General features: G+C 40.1%; 1 protein-coding gene across 8 annotated transcripts in view, besides 1 other annotated feature; it reads right to left on the bottom strand.

Moving 5' to 3' along the window:
- The window catches only part of SYT9 (synaptotagmin 9), a 230,266-nt gene that overhangs the window by 47,577 nt on the left and 164,192 nt on the right, over window positions 1–18,497 (bottom strand). For 7 of the 8 annotated variants that reach the window (XM_011519902.3, XM_047426379.1, XM_011519901.3 and 4 more), the window contains exons 4-6: window positions 5,305–5,425; window positions 3,339–3,510; window positions 832–961 (exon numbers count right to left, since the gene is read on the bottom strand). In XM_011519902.3, coding sequence (XP_011518204.1) covers window positions 832–961; window positions 3,339–3,510; window positions 5,305–5,425 — 423 coding nt within the window. Of the gene's footprint in view, window positions 1–831; window positions 962–3,338; window positions 3,511–5,304; window positions 5,426–18,497 lie in introns of those variants that run through there. The other variant, XM_047426380.1, reaches the window with a different exon arrangement.
- Window positions 2,569–3,768: an enhancer, noted in NCBI's record as "MED14-independent group 3 enhancer chr11:7438930-7440129 (GRCh37/hg19 assembly coordinates)". NCBI's record gives its function as "activates an origin of replication core promoter dependent on BRD2, BRD4, P300/CBP and CDK7 cofactors, and independent of MED14, by STARR-seq in HCT116 cells {active_cell/tissue: HCT116}" and the evidence as "EXISTENCE:reporter gene assay evidence [ECO:0000049][PMID:35650434]".

Raw genomic sequence — 18,497 nt, 5'->3', positions numbered from 1 at the left:
ACTATCCCCTGCAACTTGACATGTCCACGTGACTAAGTTTTGTGACTAAATTAAATGTAAATAGCAGTCTTGCATGAGAATTCAAAGAGAATCAAAAAGGGAATGTGTGCCCTTTTGGCTCTTGCCCTTTTGCACATTTTTGTGGCCTAGAAAATATGCAATGGTTGGAGCTTAGCAGCCATATTGTATAATGAGGGGACTTCAAGGAACAAAGCCACACTGGGACTGTGAGGCAGAAAGACAGAAGTCTAGGTCTCTTGTTGATCATGGAGCTGCTAAGATACTCCAGACTGCCTTCCTCTAGACTTTTTGTATATAAGAGAGAGAAATAAATTCTCATTTCATTTGTTTTTAATTTATAATTGGTTGTTTTGGTTTTTATTATATGTAGTTGAACCTGATACTAACCCACTTGCCCAGAATCACAGGTTGGTGCCAGAGCTGGTCTTAGAATCAAGGCCTTATGTTTTTTCCAAAGTCAGTCTCAAGTCACTGTACGAAGGCCTGAAAGTCCCCACTCACCCACACCTTGCAGATGCCCTCCAAGTACCAACCCAAAGCCTTAACACAGAAGCAGAGAATCTTGATCTTTTAAAAATACAATCAAAATGAGGGATGATCTCTGATCAATACTCAAAACCTACCAGACTGGTGGGAAGCACAGATTCAGCCTCAAATTGAATGCAAGTCCCAACAGCCCCAGGAAATGCAACCAGGAAAACCCGTCTATGACCATAGATCCTGGTGCACTCATATGTTTGGCAGCTCCTGCATTTCAACAGTAAAGCATTTACTCTTATGCAAAGTGGAGCATGTGGATTAGGGTCTTACCTCCACCAGGGAATGCCAGTGTGCAATGGGCTTCCGAGGATATGACAACATTTCACTCCAGTGGTCTCTGCCCAGCCTCTCAGCCTCGTTGCCTACTTGACACACGCCGATGATCTCATTGTGACCTACACTGTGAAAATGGCCCACAATAGTTTTTTCTTAAAATTTTGGTATGTAAGATCAATAGCTACTCAATTAAACTGATGAAGGAATTGGGGATGTGGTTTTTTGTTTGTTTGTTTGTTTGTTTTTTCATTTCCTCACTTAAAACTACAGGCTAAGCTTCACGGCCAATAGGACTTGGGATCTAACGTATACCCTGGCTGTCCTAAAACTGACATGGGTCAACTTGTTTCCAAGAACCTTGTTCAAAGAACCCCACGATTTGTGCTAAGGATGCCACCTCTCGTCCTGGATCTAGGCTGGCCTCCATGTAATAAAGAGGGAGTCATCTGAAATGAGTTTCTTGCAATAATGGCTGCTCTAATTCCCACAAGAGGCAACCAAGCATGGGTGAGGGAGCAGTTTTGTGTCTGGCAGCCATGGGTCTTCAGCCCACAAACTAAGGTAAGTGAAGGAGGCTTATGGATCTTCCTGCTTCCTCTCTTTAGAGAATACTGTTATTGTCTTATACTTGTCCCTCCTTTCTTCTAAGTTCAGCTTCTTTGGCCCAGTTAGTTTCCCAACTATAGAAAGATACATAGCTCCTTTGACCTTGAGGCTAATATTTCTTTTTTTTTGAAATGGAGTCTCACTCTGTCACCCACGCTGGAGTGCAGTGGCATGATCTCGGCTCACTGCAACCTCCAGCTCCCGGGTTCAAGCAATTTTCCTGTCTCAGCTTCCAAGTAGCTGGGATTACAGGTGCATGCCACCATGCCTGGCCAATTTTTGTATTTTTAGTTGAGGCGGGGTTTCACCACGTTGGCCAGGCTGGTCTCGAACTCCTAACCTCAAGTGATCCACCTGCCTCAGCCTCCCAAAGTGCTGGGATTACAGGTGTGAGATACCATGCCCGGCCAAGGCTAATATTTCTGAAACTCTCCCTAGGTAGGTCCCCGCCTTGAGACATTTTTGTTTTCTCTAGCAGTTTTTTAAAAAGTCCCTGGTATAACTGGACTGATATGGCCAATTCTTTAATTCTATGGGATCCAAACTCACATACTTTCTCTTTTTTTTTTCCCTCCTGCAAAGATGAGTGATTTTTCTCCTATTTGTGTATGGAGCATAAAGGTGAGATGAGGGTGGGGAGGTCACGTGAAGGATATTTGAGTCTCTGCCCATTAAAATCAAATGCATGCAGAAGCCCCATGAATTCTGCCATGAATTTTTCCAGGCCAGATTCATGAGTTTACTGAGAATTAAATTAAGGCAGAGCTCACATAATCAGATTTGTCCATGCAGGAAACTTGGCAATAGCTTAAAAATTGCTGGCCTAGGCTTCCACAGTTGGTGGGCAATGTCCCCTACTGGGGCCTGACACTGTTGGTGTTGTTTCTTGCCCACAGGAGATGGGACAAGGTCTACTGCTCAGCATGGGCTGTCACACTCATGGGCAGCTGAGCCAACCCACGTGCTCCTTGGGTTGGAAGACTGTCATGCTTCACGCAGGCATCTGCTGGAAAGAGTGTTCAGGTCACTGAAGCTGCCTTCCTGATATTTCAGAGGTATGTGGGAAAATTCTTAGTCACAAATAATATTAGAAGTCAGAATATTTTTTTTAATAATTGTGTCCAGACCACGTGGGAGGTTTCCAATTAAAGAGAGACTTTGCATTTTAGTCTAATGACTGGTTTAACATGTATAATTCCCTGTTGGTACTTCCTTTGCATATTAAAATGACTGTTTTTCAAATCTGTCCTTTAAATACACAATTGGCTACAATGCAGGCTATAAATATCTCTTCTGTGCTGTATTAATTAAAAAGTTGAGCATCTTATACATTTTAATGTACCTTGTCATCCATACTGATTCTAGCACTTTCAGGAGAACATTTCTGTGTTTGTTTTCAGACTTAAGTAGAAGGAAACAATCTTTATTAAATACTTGTGAGAAGGAAAAAGATTGAAGTTATGTATTTGGAAATGTTGATGGTCTGGCGAAAGTAATCATTCTGCCATTTTGAGTGGAATCCTTCCAATGAAGGGCAGTTAGCACTGCCTGACAGAAGATAAAACCTGTGGGGCCACAGCTCTCCAAGCTGAGATTCTAGGAGTTGTGCAAAGATGAAAAGGGGAAGAGGTGGAGGTTGGGGGAGGATGTAGGAATAGGAAAAAAAATGAGAACGGGGCAGAAAAGAATGGGAGTGCTGAGAGACACTTTGGTAGTCTGACTCTACAGCATGGTTTAGAGGTGACTCCTGTCAATGTGCTTCCCATGCACTGCTAGTTGACTCATTTCCTGCAGCCTGGGACACCAGGTAAGAATCTGTGGCTGCTGCTCCCCCTCTGCCTTCCCAGTCCTGGGCACAGTGAACTTGCACTGGAAAAGAGTTCCAGGTATCTCACCGGTCATAGTCCATGACTGCTATGGACAAGTGGATTTGGTCAATGTTCTCGGGAGGGACATCAAAGACTATGGCTTCGTTGTAAACAGGATTCAAGGTGTTCCTCTTGGTGGATGTTTTCCTCTTCTTCAGTCGTCTGCCATCACACATCAGCGAGACTTTCACATAGGGATCTGGACAGACCATGAGAAGCAGGAGTACTGTGAGGATACGTATAGATTTAGGTGGGCAGTTATATCACTGTGAGTTTTCATGGACTATGGTATGCTGAACTCCTTTACCTGCCTGTGGACTGGAGTTGGAGGACTGTCATTAATATGATATCTGGGGAGCAACTAGTTAGGATAATTAAGTCACTCATTCAAGAAAAAGCACAGGATACTGTCTCCTGAAAATGTGTGTAATTTAAAAATAGTTTGAAAACATCTGTTAAGGAATTAGGAGACATTCCAGCTAGAACTCAAGACTGGCCTGGCCAGGATAGCAAGAGAAATGCACCAGCATTTCCAAGGCTGAAAACAGGCCCCCCAGCTCTGAGCCACCTCAGGGAATCTTTTCAGGTCTTTAAGAAAGGGAATTCCTAGACTCTGAATTTCTGAATTCCTAGAGGACAGAGAACATCTGGGAGTGGAATTCCTTAAGTATAGAGACCTTGAGCCCCTAGAGTGGCCTGCCCTTGGGTTGCAAAAGGAGAAGCAGCTCAGCATATCAGGGAGAGAAAGGCCACAGGCTTCCTTGGGGTGCAACACTGTGATGGGGTAACAGGTGGCAAGGCTGGCCTCTGCTCCAGATAGGGCTCTTCTGGTCCTAACAGCTATCTCACTCTTCTTCTGTTTATTGGGAAGTCCTTGTTCTATTTTCACCTGCATAACCATGCATTGCTCTGACTCCTATATGCAGTCCAGTAGGGACTTAGATGACCAGAGGGACCACAGCTTTTTTTTCTTTCTGCTTAAAAAAACAAAAACACTGGGATATAGGATGCAGAATATATTGCATCTGATGTTCTTTGATTTCAGAGGATGTAAGCCAGGGTGTACTGGGTGTTTTGTGACCACATTTGGGAAACACCTGCAGAGGTTGCTTGTGAATTTGCACAGTTAGCAATGCATATAGAGGCATTTTTTTTTTCTTGTTAGAGTTCAGAATTTAATGCTTGGTTTACTGGAAAAATCTAAAATTCATAGTTCCCTTTAATAAGGACATAGGATTGTTCTCAGTCTTCAATGAGCCTGGGATGATGATATTTGAGGAAAGACCCAATTAGATAAGCTTTATCAGTGTGTGTAAATGGTAGGTCCAATTCACAATTATGGTGAGGGAGACCCAAGAGAGTACTATTGTCCCTTGTTATCCACAAGGAATTGGTTTCAGGACCCTTCACAGATAGGAAAATCCAAGGATGCTCAGGTCCCTTATATAAAATGGCATCGTATTTGCATATAACCTACGCACATTCTCCCGTATACTTTAAATCATCTCTAGATTGCTTACAATACCTAATCAGGCATAAATGCTGTGTAAATAGTTGTTATACTGTATTGTTTAAAAAACTGTATTATTTTTATTGTTGTATTACTTTTTTCCTGAGTATTTTTAATCCATCGTTGGTTGAATCTACAGATGTGGAACTGGTGGATATAGAAGGCTAAATGTAATAATAACAATAATTAACAATATGTAGCACTTAATATATGCTAGCACTGTTCTCATGGCTTTATATTTATGAATTCAGTTTTACAACAGCCCGGTGAGCCAGACGCTATAATTACTCTCATCTTACCGATGGGAATCCAAAGCTCAGAGAGGTAAAATGACTTGCCCAAGGTCACACAGGTGTTAGGACTAGGGCTAAGCCTAGGCAGTCTGGTTCCAGAGTCAATGTGCTTTATTACCATACTAAAACTTTATAAGGTACTTACTACAGTAGAAGTGCATGAGGAAGTCTGAATTTGAAAATGCCCCACCTGATGCTCCTGTTATGTCCATTGCCTTTAAATTCCTTGCTTTTATAATGGTAATGGTCAGCCTGCCAGCCGTTGGAAGATAGCACAGGGAAAACATCAGCTCTCCCAGATCCACGTTGTCCTGTTGAGAAAGCACAAACTAAAGTATTAGAAAGTGTCTCCAGCCTGGTGTGCAAGAGGCTCAGCTTCAGGCCACACTGAAAGGGAACACACTGCCCCTTTTGCTCAGCTTGTAGAATCCCTGGTATCTCTTCCGTTCATGTCAGTCACAGGGAGAATAATAAATCCCTGCACTTTGGGAGCACCTCACCCTGAGGAGGCACAGCCTATCTTTGGATGGCAAAGCTGTAACCCTGTTCAGGCCTCTGCCACCATGTATCCAGTCACCGGCAGCCCTGTACAGACTCATGTGTCCAGGTAGCCCAGAACACATCCTCCAGTGCATAAGTCTCACAGCCTTAACAAATCCTCCACAGACTCCCCTATGTGGCTCCACTCATATCACTACTACAATGCACACAGAGCCTCTAAGTCAAAGTTACACAAACAGGTGCCCTCCAGTACTGTAGTGCCCCACCCACGGCCCAGGGTAGCTCTGCACACAGCCCTATGCAGCATCATGAAGCCTCTCAACAGGTTTCCACACCACCCCACACACTCCCGTACACAGCCCCCTCAAACTTGCGACCATATCCTCCCTGTGTACTCCTGCATACCTCCAATCTCCCACACGCGATCCCCATGCCACAGAGCTCAGCACACACCCTGGCTGCATACGATCTGTGCAGACCAGCACACGGCTCCACTGGACCCTGGAAACTTACAGTCTATCGCATAGCTCCAAACAAGGACACTGCATGAGCCTGAGAGTGGCACCCTGCGAGCCCACACATTCAGAGCCCTGGACACAGCCAAGTACTCGCCTAGTCCCGCACAGCCTCCTTGCAGGGAGAGAACAGAGACCCAGACCCCCAGGTGGCCCTGCTGCCTGCCTTTCACAGTTCCACTTTGCAGCAGCTCTTTTCTTTTGCTGGCGTGCCTCTAAAGACTCCCCATTTCCCTCCACTGGGGAAGATATCTCAGGCACTGTGCAGCCATTCAGATAGGTCAGAAGACACAATTCTCTTTCTCCTTTTTAGCTCAGGGACAGTATAACCAGAAAGGAGGGAAAAAAAGCCATTTCATTTCGTTTCAATTTCTGAGAGATACCTGAGGTTATCGAGCTGAGGTGCCTGTGTCTAATTAATACAGTTTCCTACTGACAATGCTCTGGGGATTCAGGTTCTTGCCCTCAATGTCCAAAGCTTTCCCTCCCCTTCTCAGTTCTCCAAGGATGCTTCTATTTTTAGAAGCACAGATTCGGCTCTGGAAGGTCACCTCGCCCAACCTCCCTTTCTTGATTGCTTCCACAGGAGAATGAGGCAAAGGGATCTCTTTGGTCACTAAGGCAGACTCTGTGTCTTCTTGCATCATGCATTGCTTGCCCAGTGTAAATAAATGACCTCTCCTTGCAAGCTAGGCTTTGCTGGTTCCTGGAGCCATGACCTCAAGGGACCCATGTGACTGGGCATTCCCCTTTTGGGAGATATGGGGGCTTGGGGACTAGAATTCTATACGACTGGAGGTTTTACACACAGCAGACTCTGGCTTGTTCTGCAGTGCTGGGTTCCCCATTGCAGGAGCAGTGTCTGCCCTTACTGAAGAGGGAAGGATTGACCCAGCCTCCTGCTGGTGGCAGAAAGGAAAGAGAGACCACAGCTGTCCCCACACATCACCCTTTTGTTTCCTGACTCCCTGGCCCACTTTGCTCTTCAACTTCTGTTCTTCCTTTAAAAGGCTTTTCACGGCACCTAGCTCTCTCCTCTCCCCTCATCCTTCTCAGAAAATCTTGGTTTGGCAAAGTAAATACAGAATTAACCAAAACTATGCCTATGAAACTTCCTAATCAATTCTTTCAACATACATTTCCTGAGGGCCCGCACTGTGCACACACTTTGTAAGGTTCGGGATGTGAAAATGCATGCCGTCTAATCTCTGCCCTCAAGGCTGAGGCACATAATTAAATGTGATGTGTCAGATTACTTCCATGCTAGGTATGGTGGTTTGTTTGTTTTCCTCCGACATAAGCCCATTCAAAAATATTTATACAATATGGCTATTTGCTCATAAGTTAAAAGAGAAAAAAATCAAACCTCAGACTTGATGGTATATTCAGAATGTAAACCAGGCAAAAGTCCATATTTGTACTTTACAAAATAGCAAATTAGCTGGGTGCAGTGGCTCGTGCCTACAATCCTAGCTACTCTGGAGGCTAAGGCAGGAGGATCACTTGGGCCCAGGAGTACAAGTACAGCTTAGGCAATCTAGCAAGATGCTGTCTCTTAAAAAGAAAAAAAAAAAAGGAACAAACAAACAACAGGCAGCTATGTGCCTCTACCATGGAAAAGAACCAAAATAGCAAGTAGATATTCACACTTGGAATAGATCATCTAAGAGAGAACACTGGAATTCCACAAAAAAGTGACAGGAAGCACCAAAGGTAACAGAGGAAATGGAAGCAATGTAGCCTGCTCGGGGGGTTTGGCTGGGAGCTGGGAGAAGCTCCCTAACACAGGGAAAGGGTAAGTGAGAGACCTCCCAGGGTCCACATTCCCACCACATACTATCTTACTGACAGGAGAGCCCCTCGATCCTCACAGGCCTAGAGACTAACACAGAGAGCTGCCTAGAAATTGCACAGTGGTATTGCTTCAAAGAGGGAGCTCATGCTGTGACCCACAGGCCTGTAAGCCCTGAGCAGCACAGTGACATTCTGAAAGCCGAGCCCCTAAAGGACTATGTCTTGCCCTGGTTTTGATGCCACTGATGCTACCACCAGGCCAGGGAGGAGATGAGGCCAGATACTTTTGTGTACCCTAAGGATAAATCCCGCTGTCACTAGAGCTGCAAGCTGCTGGGGGACTGAGGCATGAGCAAATCACATGCTGCACAACTACCTACCTATGCTGCTCCCAATGAGAGTGTCTGTGCCCTCCCCAGTGGCAGCCCTGAACTGAAGCCACCAGTGCCCTCACCTGAGCATTCTGCTGACTGCCTGGGGACCACCTTGTTCCTACCTATCATAGCCATGCCTGAACATATTACCAGGGGACCTGAGGACAAGTCTCAATTCTGCCAACCTAGTCCTGTCTTCTCAGTACTTGAGCATGCCATCCAGGGGCTTGGAAATCACCCAGCCTAGTCCACTACTGTTGGCACATGTGCACTCTTCCCAGGGTCTGAGGTGCGGGCAACTCAACCCCCTGATAACCACCACAATTGGCACTCACTTGCAAGCACCATGAGACTGGCCCATCCAACCCATTACAGCTCAGACCAACTTGGATTTCAGTGAGTGGCCCAATCACTGCTATTGCCATTGCCCACATCAAGTCTGCTGACCAAGGGCAAGAGAACCAGTCCACATGCCAGGCCCACTGCTGCCACTACTAGCATTTCAGCAAGCCACCTGGAAGCCCAGTAATTGGCCCACTTGGACCCACTAATACCAGAGCCAGCATACATCACTCTGGGGCTCAAAGACAGGCATCTTCAGACCACTGCTGTACCACTGGCCTACCTAATAACCTAGTTCCCAGAAAACTTTACCACAGCCTCCACTAATAACCACACCCTAAGCTATCAAGGAAATAAATCACAGATACCACTGATACTATTTATAGCCAAGGAGATCATACAGAAACTACGCTATTGCTTGCATCCAAAATCAAAGCCAAAGTGCCCTACTCAACCAACATCATAGATAATCTTCAGAGAAGAGTCCTCTCTACAAAAGCAAATTTAAAAAACATGGAATAAGTGATTGTTACATCAGATGTGCAGATATTAACATAAGGACACAGGAAACATGAAAAAGCAAGGAAATATGACACCTTCAAAGGAACACAATAATTCTACAGCAACAGATACCAATAAAAAATCAATGAAATCATGGGTAAATAATTCAAATTACTGATTTTAAAGAAGCTCAGCAAACAAGATAATTTTGAAAAACAATACAGAAAATTGGAAAAGAATTCATCAAAGAGATACACATTTTTTTTAAAAGAACCAAACATAAATTCCGGAACTGAAGAATTCATTGAATAAAATACAAAATACAGTCAAAACCTCCAACAATAGATTAGATTAAGCAGAAGAAAGAATCTCAGAACTTGAAATCTTTTGAAATAATCCAGTCAGACAAAAATAAATAAAAAGAATAAAAAAGAATGAGAAAGGCTTTGTGACCTATGGGACAACATAGTGACTCAATATTCTAATTATCAGTGTCCCCAAGGGCAAAGAGAGAATGAAAGGATTAGAAAATCTATTTAATGAAATAATAGATGAAAACTTCCCCAATCTAGAAAAGACTCATATAGGGGGCTCAGAGAACCCCACACAAATACAGAGCAAGAAGGTCTTCTCTGCAGCGTATTATAGTCAAACTACTTAAAGTCAAAGATAAAGAGGGGATTCCAACAACAGCAAGACAAAAGTGTCTAGTCACCTATAAAGGAAACCCCATCAGGCTAAGAAAGTATTTCTCAGCAGAAACAATACAGGGCAAGAGAGACATATTCAAAGTGGTGAAGAAAAAAAGCCACTTAAGTATATACTATGTAGCAAAATTATCCTTCACAAAAAAAGTCCTTCCCAGAGAAGAAAATGCTGAGGGAATTTATCACCACTAGACTGGCCCTAGAAGAAATATCCAAAGAAGTCCTAAACCCGGAATAAAAAAGATAACATTTACCATCATGAAAACACATCAAAGTATAAAACTCACTGGTACACCAAACACACAAATGAGGAAGAGAAAGAATTCAAATGGTACAACTACAGAAAACAACCAAACCAAAATGACAATTAGAAAAAAAGAGAGGAATAAAGAACATACAAAACGATCAGAAAACAATTAAGAGCATGGCAGGAACAAAGCCTTGCATATTAAAAGCAATCTTGAGGCCGGGCATGGTGGCTCACACCTGCAATCCTAGCATTTTGGGATGCCGAGGCAGGTGAATCACCTGAGGTCAGGAGTTTGAGACCAGCCTGGCCAACATGGTGAAACCCCGTCTTTCCTAAAAATACAAAAATTAGCCAGGCGTGGTGCCAGGTGCCTGTAATCCAAACTACTTGGGAGGCTGAGGCAGGAGAATCACTTGAACCTGGGAGGCAGAGGTTGCAGTGAGCTGGGACTGCGCCATTGCGCTCCAGCCTGGGTGACAAGAGCAAAACTCTGTCTCAAAAAGAAAAAAAAAAGAGATATTGAATGGAAATAGATTAAATAATCTGCTTAAAATATATAGACTGGTTGAATATATAAGAAAACATTATCCAACTATATGCTGCCTACAACAAATACACTTTACCTGTCAAGATACATATACACCCAAAGTAAAGGGATGCAAAAAAATTCCACTCAAACAGAAACCCAAAGTCAGCAGAAGTAGCTATACTTAGATCAGATCAAACAGACTTTAGGTCAAAAACAGTAAAAATGACAAAGACAAAGATGGTCATTATATAATGATAAAGGGATCAATCCAGCAAGAGGTATGATACAACAATTCTGAATATTTATGCATCCAACCCTGGAGTGCCCAGATTCATAAAGCAAATATAACTAGAGCTAAAGAGAGAGACAGACTCCCATAAAATAATATTGGGGAAATTCAACACCCCACTTTCAGCATTAGTCAAATCATCTAGACAGAAAATCAACAACAACAAAAAATTGGATTTAAACTACACTTTAGACCAAGTGGAACTAACACACACTTACAGAACATTTTATTCAACAACTGTAAAATATACATTCTTCTAAGCAGATGAAACATTCTCCAGGATACAGCATATGTTAGGTCACAAAACGATTCTCAACAGTTTTAAAAATCAAAATCATATCAAGTATCTTCAGGTCACAATGGAATAAAACAATAAATCAATACTAGGAGGAACTCTGGTACCTACAGATACATGGAAATTAAAAAACATGCTTCTGAATGACCACTGGGTCAATTAAGAAATTAAGATGAAAAGCAAAAAATTTCTTGAAACAAATGTAAATAAGACATGTGCCAAAACCAATGGGATAGAGTGAAAGCAGTGTTAAGAGGAAGTTTGACATAGGCAATAAATGCCTACATCAAAAAAGTAGAAAGATTTCAAACAAACAACCCAATGATGCATCTCAAGGAACCACAAAAGCAAGAATAAACCAAAGTCAAAATTAGAAGAAAAGAAATAATAAAGAGCTGAACTAAATGAGATAGACTAAAAAATACACAGAATAAATGAAATGAAAAGTTGATTCTTCAAAAAAAAGATAAACAAAATTGATAAACCACTAGCTAGACTAACCAAGAACACAGAATACAAAACAAGAAATGAAAAGGGAGATATTACAACTGATACCACAGAAATACAAAAGATCATCACACACGATTATGAATAACTGTACACTAACAAACCAGAAAACCTAGGAGAATGGATAAATTTCTGGAAATATACAAGCTACCAAGATTGAATAAGGAAAAAATAGAAAACCTAAACAGACCAATAACGAGTAGCAAGATTGAATCAGTAATACAAAGTCTCCCAAGAAAGAAAACCCAACTACTGGATGGATGAACAGCTGAAATTTACCAAACATATAAAGAAGAACTAATACAAATCCTCCTAAAACCATTTCAGAAAACGAAAGTGGAAAGACCTCTCCTCAAGTCATTATATGAGACCAACATTATCCCAGTGACAAAACCTGACAAGGACACAACAAAAAAGAAAACTACATAAATCCTCAACAAACTACTAGCAAGTCAAATCCAACACACATCAAAAAGATAATATACCATGACCAAATGGGATTTATACCAGGGATGCACTGATGGCTCAACATATGCAAATCAATAAATGTGATACATCACATAAACAAAATCAAGGACAAAAATCATATGATCATCTCAATAGATGCAGAAAAAGCATTTGATAAAATACACCATCCCTTCATGATAAAAACTCTCAATAAACCAAGTGCAGAAGGAACATGTCTCAAAATAATAAAGGTCATCTATGACAAACCCACAGATAACATCATACTGAATGTTAGTATGAACACTACTACTGAAAAGATGAAAGCCTTTCTTCTCAGATCTGTAACTCAACACAAATACCCACTTTCACCACTCTTATTCAACATGGTACTGGAAATCTTAGCCAGAGCAATCATGCAAGACAAAGAAATAAAAGGCATCATTCAGAACAAGGATCTCTGAGGAAAACAAATTAAAAAAAATGAAATAATAAAATAAAAGGCATCCAAATTGGAAAAGAGGAAGTCAACCATTTCTTTGCTGATGATATGATCTTATGGAAAAACCTAGACTCCACCAAAAAACTCTTAGATTTGATAAATTTAGTAAAGTTTCAGAATGCAAATCAACATACAAAAATCAGTAGCATTTCTATATACTGATAATGAACTAGCCAAGAAAGAAATCAAGAAGGTAATCCAATTTACAATAGCTACAAAAAATACCTAAGAACAAATTTAACTAAGGCGTTGAAAGATCTCTATAAGAAAAACTACAAAACACTAATGAAGAAATTGAAGAGGACAAAACAAATGGAAAGACATCCCATGCTCATGGATCAGAAGAATTAATAATGTTAAAATGACCATACTACTGGCTGGGCATGGTGGCTCACGCCTGTAATCCCAGCACTTTGGGAGGCTGAGGCGAGTGGATCACCTGAGGTCAGGAGTTGGAAACCAGCCTGACCAACATAGAGAAACCCCATCTCTACTAAAAATACAAAATTAGCCGGGCATGGTGGCACATGCTTGTAATCCCAGCTACTCAGGAGGCTGAGGCAGGAGAATTGCTTGAACCCGGGAGGTGGAGGTTGCGGTAAGCAGAGATCATGCCATTGCACTCCAGCCTGGGCAACAGAGCGAGACTCCATCTCAAACAAACAAACAAAAAAACAAAATCATACTACCTAAAGCAACTATAGACTTAATGCAATCTCTATCAAAAAACCAATGTAATTTTTCACAGAATTAATAAAACAATCCTACAATGTGTATAATACCAAAAGAGAGCCTGAATAGCCAAAGCAATTCTGAACAAAAACGACAATGCTGGAGGCATCACACTACCTGACTTCAAAATGTACCAAAAGGCTACAGTAACCAAAACAACATAGTATTGGTATAAAAACAGCCTTATAGGCAAATGGAACAGGATAGATAGTACAGAAATGAATCCATGTATTTACAGCCAACTGATTTTTGATGAAGGCACCAAGGAGAAAGAATACATTCTTCAATAAATGGTGCTGGGAAAATTGGAGATCCACATACAGAAAAAGGAAACTGGATACCTATGGCTTCTCATGTACAAAAATAAACAGAAGATAAATTATAGACTTAAGGCCGGGCGCGGTGGCTCACGCCTGTAATCCCAGCACTTTGGGAGGCCGAGGCGGGTGGATCATGAGGTCAGGAGATCGAGACCATCCTGGCTAACAAGGTGAAACCCCGTCTCTACTAAAAATACAAAAAATTAGCCGGGCGCGGTGGCGGGCGCCTGTAGTCCCAGCTACTGGGGAGGCTGAGGCAGGAGAATGGCGTGAACCCGGGAAGCGGAGCTTGCAGTGAGCCGAGATTGCGCCACTGCAGTCCGCAGTCCGGCCTGGGCGACAGAGCGAGACTCCGTCTCAAAAAAAAAAAAAAAAAAAAAAAAAAAAAAATTATAGACTTAAACATAAGACCTGAGACTGTAAAACTACTAAAAAAATGGAGAAAACATTTCAAGACATCATTCTGGGCAAATATTTCATGGCTAAGGCCTGCCTGAAGAGCAGACAATAAAACAAAAAATAAACAAATGGGATTATATTAAATTTATTAAATTTAAAAGCTCATGCACAGCAAAGGAAACAATCAACAGAGTGAGGAGAAAATGTGTTGAATGAGAAAATACTTGCAAACTACTCATCCTATGAGGGACTAGTATGCAGGATATAAAAGGAACTCAAACAACTAAAAAATTTTTAAAAACCCAAATAATATCATTAAAAGTGGGCAAAAGACATGAATAGATATTTATCAAGAAAAGACATACATACAAATGGCCAAGAAGTTTATGAAAAAATGCTCAGCATCACTAGTAATTAGGGAAATGCAAAATAAAACCACATTGAGATATCATCTTATCCCAGTTAGAATGGCTATTATTAAAAAGACAAAAAATAACATGCTAGCAACAATGTGGAGAAAAGGGAATTCTTATATACTGTTGGTGTGAATGTAAATTAGTACAACCACTATGGAAAACAACATGGAGTCTTCTCCAAAAACTAAAAATAGAACTACCATATGATCCAGCAATGCCACTACCAGGTATTTAACCAAAGGAAAGGAAATCCGTGTATCAGAGGGATACCTGCACTTGCATGTTTACTTCAGGGGCATTCTTAACAGCAAAGACATGGAATCAATCTAAGTGTCCATCGACGGACAAATTAATAAAGAAAATGTGCTATATATATATATATATATATATATATATATATGCGCAATTGAACATTATTCAGCCATAAAAAAGAATGAAATCATGTCATTTGCAGCAACAGGAATGGAAATGGAGGTCATTACGTTAAGTGAAATAAGTCAGGCACAGAAAGACAGATACATGTTCTCACTCATATGTGGGAGCTAAACAAGTTAATCTCATGGAGATAGAGACTAGAATAGTAGATACCAGAGGGTAGGAAGGGTGTGTGGGTGGCAGGTGGGATATAGGGAAGTTGGTTAGTAGATATAAACATACAGTTTGATAGAAGAATAGGCTCCAATATTTGATAGCAGAGTAGAGTGACTATAGTAGCAACAATATATTTTATATTACAAAGTAGCTAGAAGAGAGGACTTGAAATGTTACCAACACATAGGAATGATAAATACTCAAGATAATGGATCCTCCAAAAACTCTGACTTGACGAAGACACATTCTATGCATGTAATAAATATTCATATGTACCCCATATATATCTATAATATTTTGTATCAAAAAAAGGAATGTAAGCTCTATAAGAACAGAAACTTTCTCTGTCTTGTTGCATCCCAGCTGCCTAGAACAGCCCCTAGTTCAACAATAAAAGATGCTCAATAAATATTAGTTGACTCTTCTAATGAAAACAAGCAAATTTTTAAAAAAGTTCTCAAGGAGAAAATGCTTGATTTTATTTTCAAGTGCTTGTAAAATAAATCCTTTAAAGTTTTCTAAATTATAAAATTAAAATGACAAAATTCCAATATAGAAATTTTCAAGTAAAATAGTAAAATATCCCATTTTCTCATACATATACTAGCCTATGTCATTCATTTCCCAAGAGCAACAGTGTGAATAATCATCCAGATTTTTAAATTTTCACTCATTCATCCATCCATTAATTTATTCATCCATTCACCTATTCTTTTAGCATTTGTTGTGGTTGTGGTATTTGAGCATTGTTTTTTCCAGATGCTGGGAGCTAAATCATCAGTGGTAAACAACAGACACTATGTTTTGAGGAGATATGGGCTTGCTGGGATATGGAACAAGAGTTCATTGGCATCTGATGCTAATTCTGCTTTCTCCCCATGAGCTGATGCTGATTTGTTGTCAAGAAGCTGTAGCTCTTGATGTTTGTAAACATTCCCTTCAATCAGTGGTTCTCAACCGGGAGTAATTTTGCTCCCCAACGAGACATTTGACACTATCTGGAGGAATTTTTGCTCGTCACAACTGTGGAGGAGGGTGTGTTACTGATATCTAGTGGGTAGAGCTCAGGGATGATGCAGAGGGAAGCCACTCAATACAAAAAATTATCTAGTCCAAAAGGTCAATAGTGCTAAGGTTGAGGAACTCTGATTTACACAGAAATGCTTAGATTCTTACTAAAAGTTTTCTGGAATGATAATAAAAGTCAAATATAAAGGGTGGCAGAGTATTTGGCTTTTTTTTTTTTTTTTTTAACCTTGACAGGTATCAGATGTGAAGAAGTGTTACTGACAGCTGGGTACCCTGGAAAGCACAAGGGGAAGAAAAACACCATACAAAGAAAGCTTCATTTACCCCTGCTTTGTGTGGCTAAATATGGTATTGTTAGAAAGATATATTGGGAATTTATAGCAAGCTGATGTGAATTCTCTATCTGTCGATCTATAAACTCTTTCTGTGATCTGTATGGTTGTAGTGGCCTTTGATCACTGTAGTTTTTGTCTAATCCGTGCACTTTTGCATTCCTTTTCTTAGGTTGTTTGGTGAACTCCTTCCCACCTTTATGAATTTCCTTCAGAAATTTCTGCGGGAATTCAGGTTGACCAAAGCATTCATGCCCTTGTCCACTGTTGTTTGTTTAGGGATATGCACATAATCCAAACAGGACCACTTAGAGTCCTCTCTGGGGTTGAAAAATCGATATTGAGATGCATAAATGTTTATTTTATTAACCCAAATAACCCCAGCTAGAATTGTTGAAACTGTTGTAAGTTTCTTATACTATATATAGTATAAATGGCATAATATCACTTCAAGTTAGCCAGTATAAGTTAAAGATATATACTCTAAACCTGAAAGAATTGGCTAAAATAAAACAAGGAGTTATAGCTAATAAACCAAAAAAGGAGACGAAATCAATGATTAAAAATATTCAGTTAATCCAAAAAAGGCAGCGAAAAGGAAAAGAGAAAAAGATTAGAAGAGACAAATTTTGATAGAAATAGAAATCAGATAGTAAGGTAGTAAATTTAAACTAAACTATCCCAATAATTACTTAAATGTGAATGGTCTGAACCTCTAAATAAAGGCAACAATTGCCTGATTCAATAAATGGCAAGACTCAATTATATGCTGCCTTCAAGAAATCTACCTTAAATGTACAGATACAAATAGATAAAAAGTAAAAGAATTAACTAATAAAAATAATTAACACTAATAAAAATAAATGCCATACTAATACTAATAAAAATATATCTGGAGTGGCTAAATTAATATCAGACAAATTATATGTCAAAGCAATAAATATTACCAGGGACAAATAGAGCTATTACATTATGATAAAGGCCTCAACTCATTAAAAATGTATAAAAATTCTAAATGTTTACACACCTCACAGCACACTCTCAAAATACATGAAGCAAAAACTAAAAGAACTGTGAGGATAAATATACAGACACATCCCTAATTATAGTCAGAGATTTGAATACCTAAATAACACTATCAGCTCACTTGGCCTAACTAATGGCATTTTATAAAGAGCCGTTTACCAAACAGTAATAGAATATACATTCTTTTTTTTTTAGGTGCACCAAGAACACTATACAGGACAGATTATATTTGAATTATAAAACAGGTTTCATTTAAATTTGAGAATTTCAATCATACAAAGTATATTTTCTTACCACAATGGAAATAAATTAGAAATAAATAATGAAAAGGAATCTAAAAAATATCAGTGTATTTGGAAACTAATACATGTGTGTGTCTCTCTCTCTCTCTCTGTTTATTTATTTTGAGACAAGGTCTTGCTTTGTTGCCCAGACTGGAGTGCAGTAGCACAATCACAGCTCACTGCAGCCTCAATCTCCTAGGCTCAAGAGATCCTCCCACCTTAACCTTACGAGTAGCTGTGACTACAGGCACATGTCACCATGCCTGGATATATTTTTAAATTTTTTTGTAGAGATGGAGTCTTGCTATATTGGCCAGGCTGGTCTTGAACTCCTGAGCTCAATACCTCAGCCTCCCAAAGTGCTGGGATTACAGGCATGAGCCACTGTGCCTGGCCTCAACACATTTCTAAATAATCCATAGGTCAAAGAAGAAATCCAAAGGAAAACTAGAAAGTATTTTGACCTGAATTAAAATGAAAACACACATATTAAAATTTGTGGAATGCAGCCAAAGCAGTATTTACAGGGAAATTTACAGCACTAAATATCTATTTGACAAGGACAAAAATTTCATGTCAATAACCTCAGCTTCTGTTCTAAAAATCCAGAAAAATAAGAACAAATTAAAGTAAGCAGAAGAAAGGAAATAATTAAGATTAGATAAGATAAAGAGGTATAATTTCAAATACTAAAATAGCCACTA

This window comes from Homo sapiens, chromosome 11 (genome assembly GCF_000001405.40).
Source record: "Homo sapiens chromosome 11, GRCh38.p14 Primary Assembly".
NCBI lineage: Eukaryota > Metazoa > Chordata > Mammalia > Primates > Hominidae > Homo > Homo sapiens.
The sequence above is the reverse complement of the archived record's forward strand: the minus strand, read 5'-3'. Positions and strand labels throughout refer to the sequence as shown.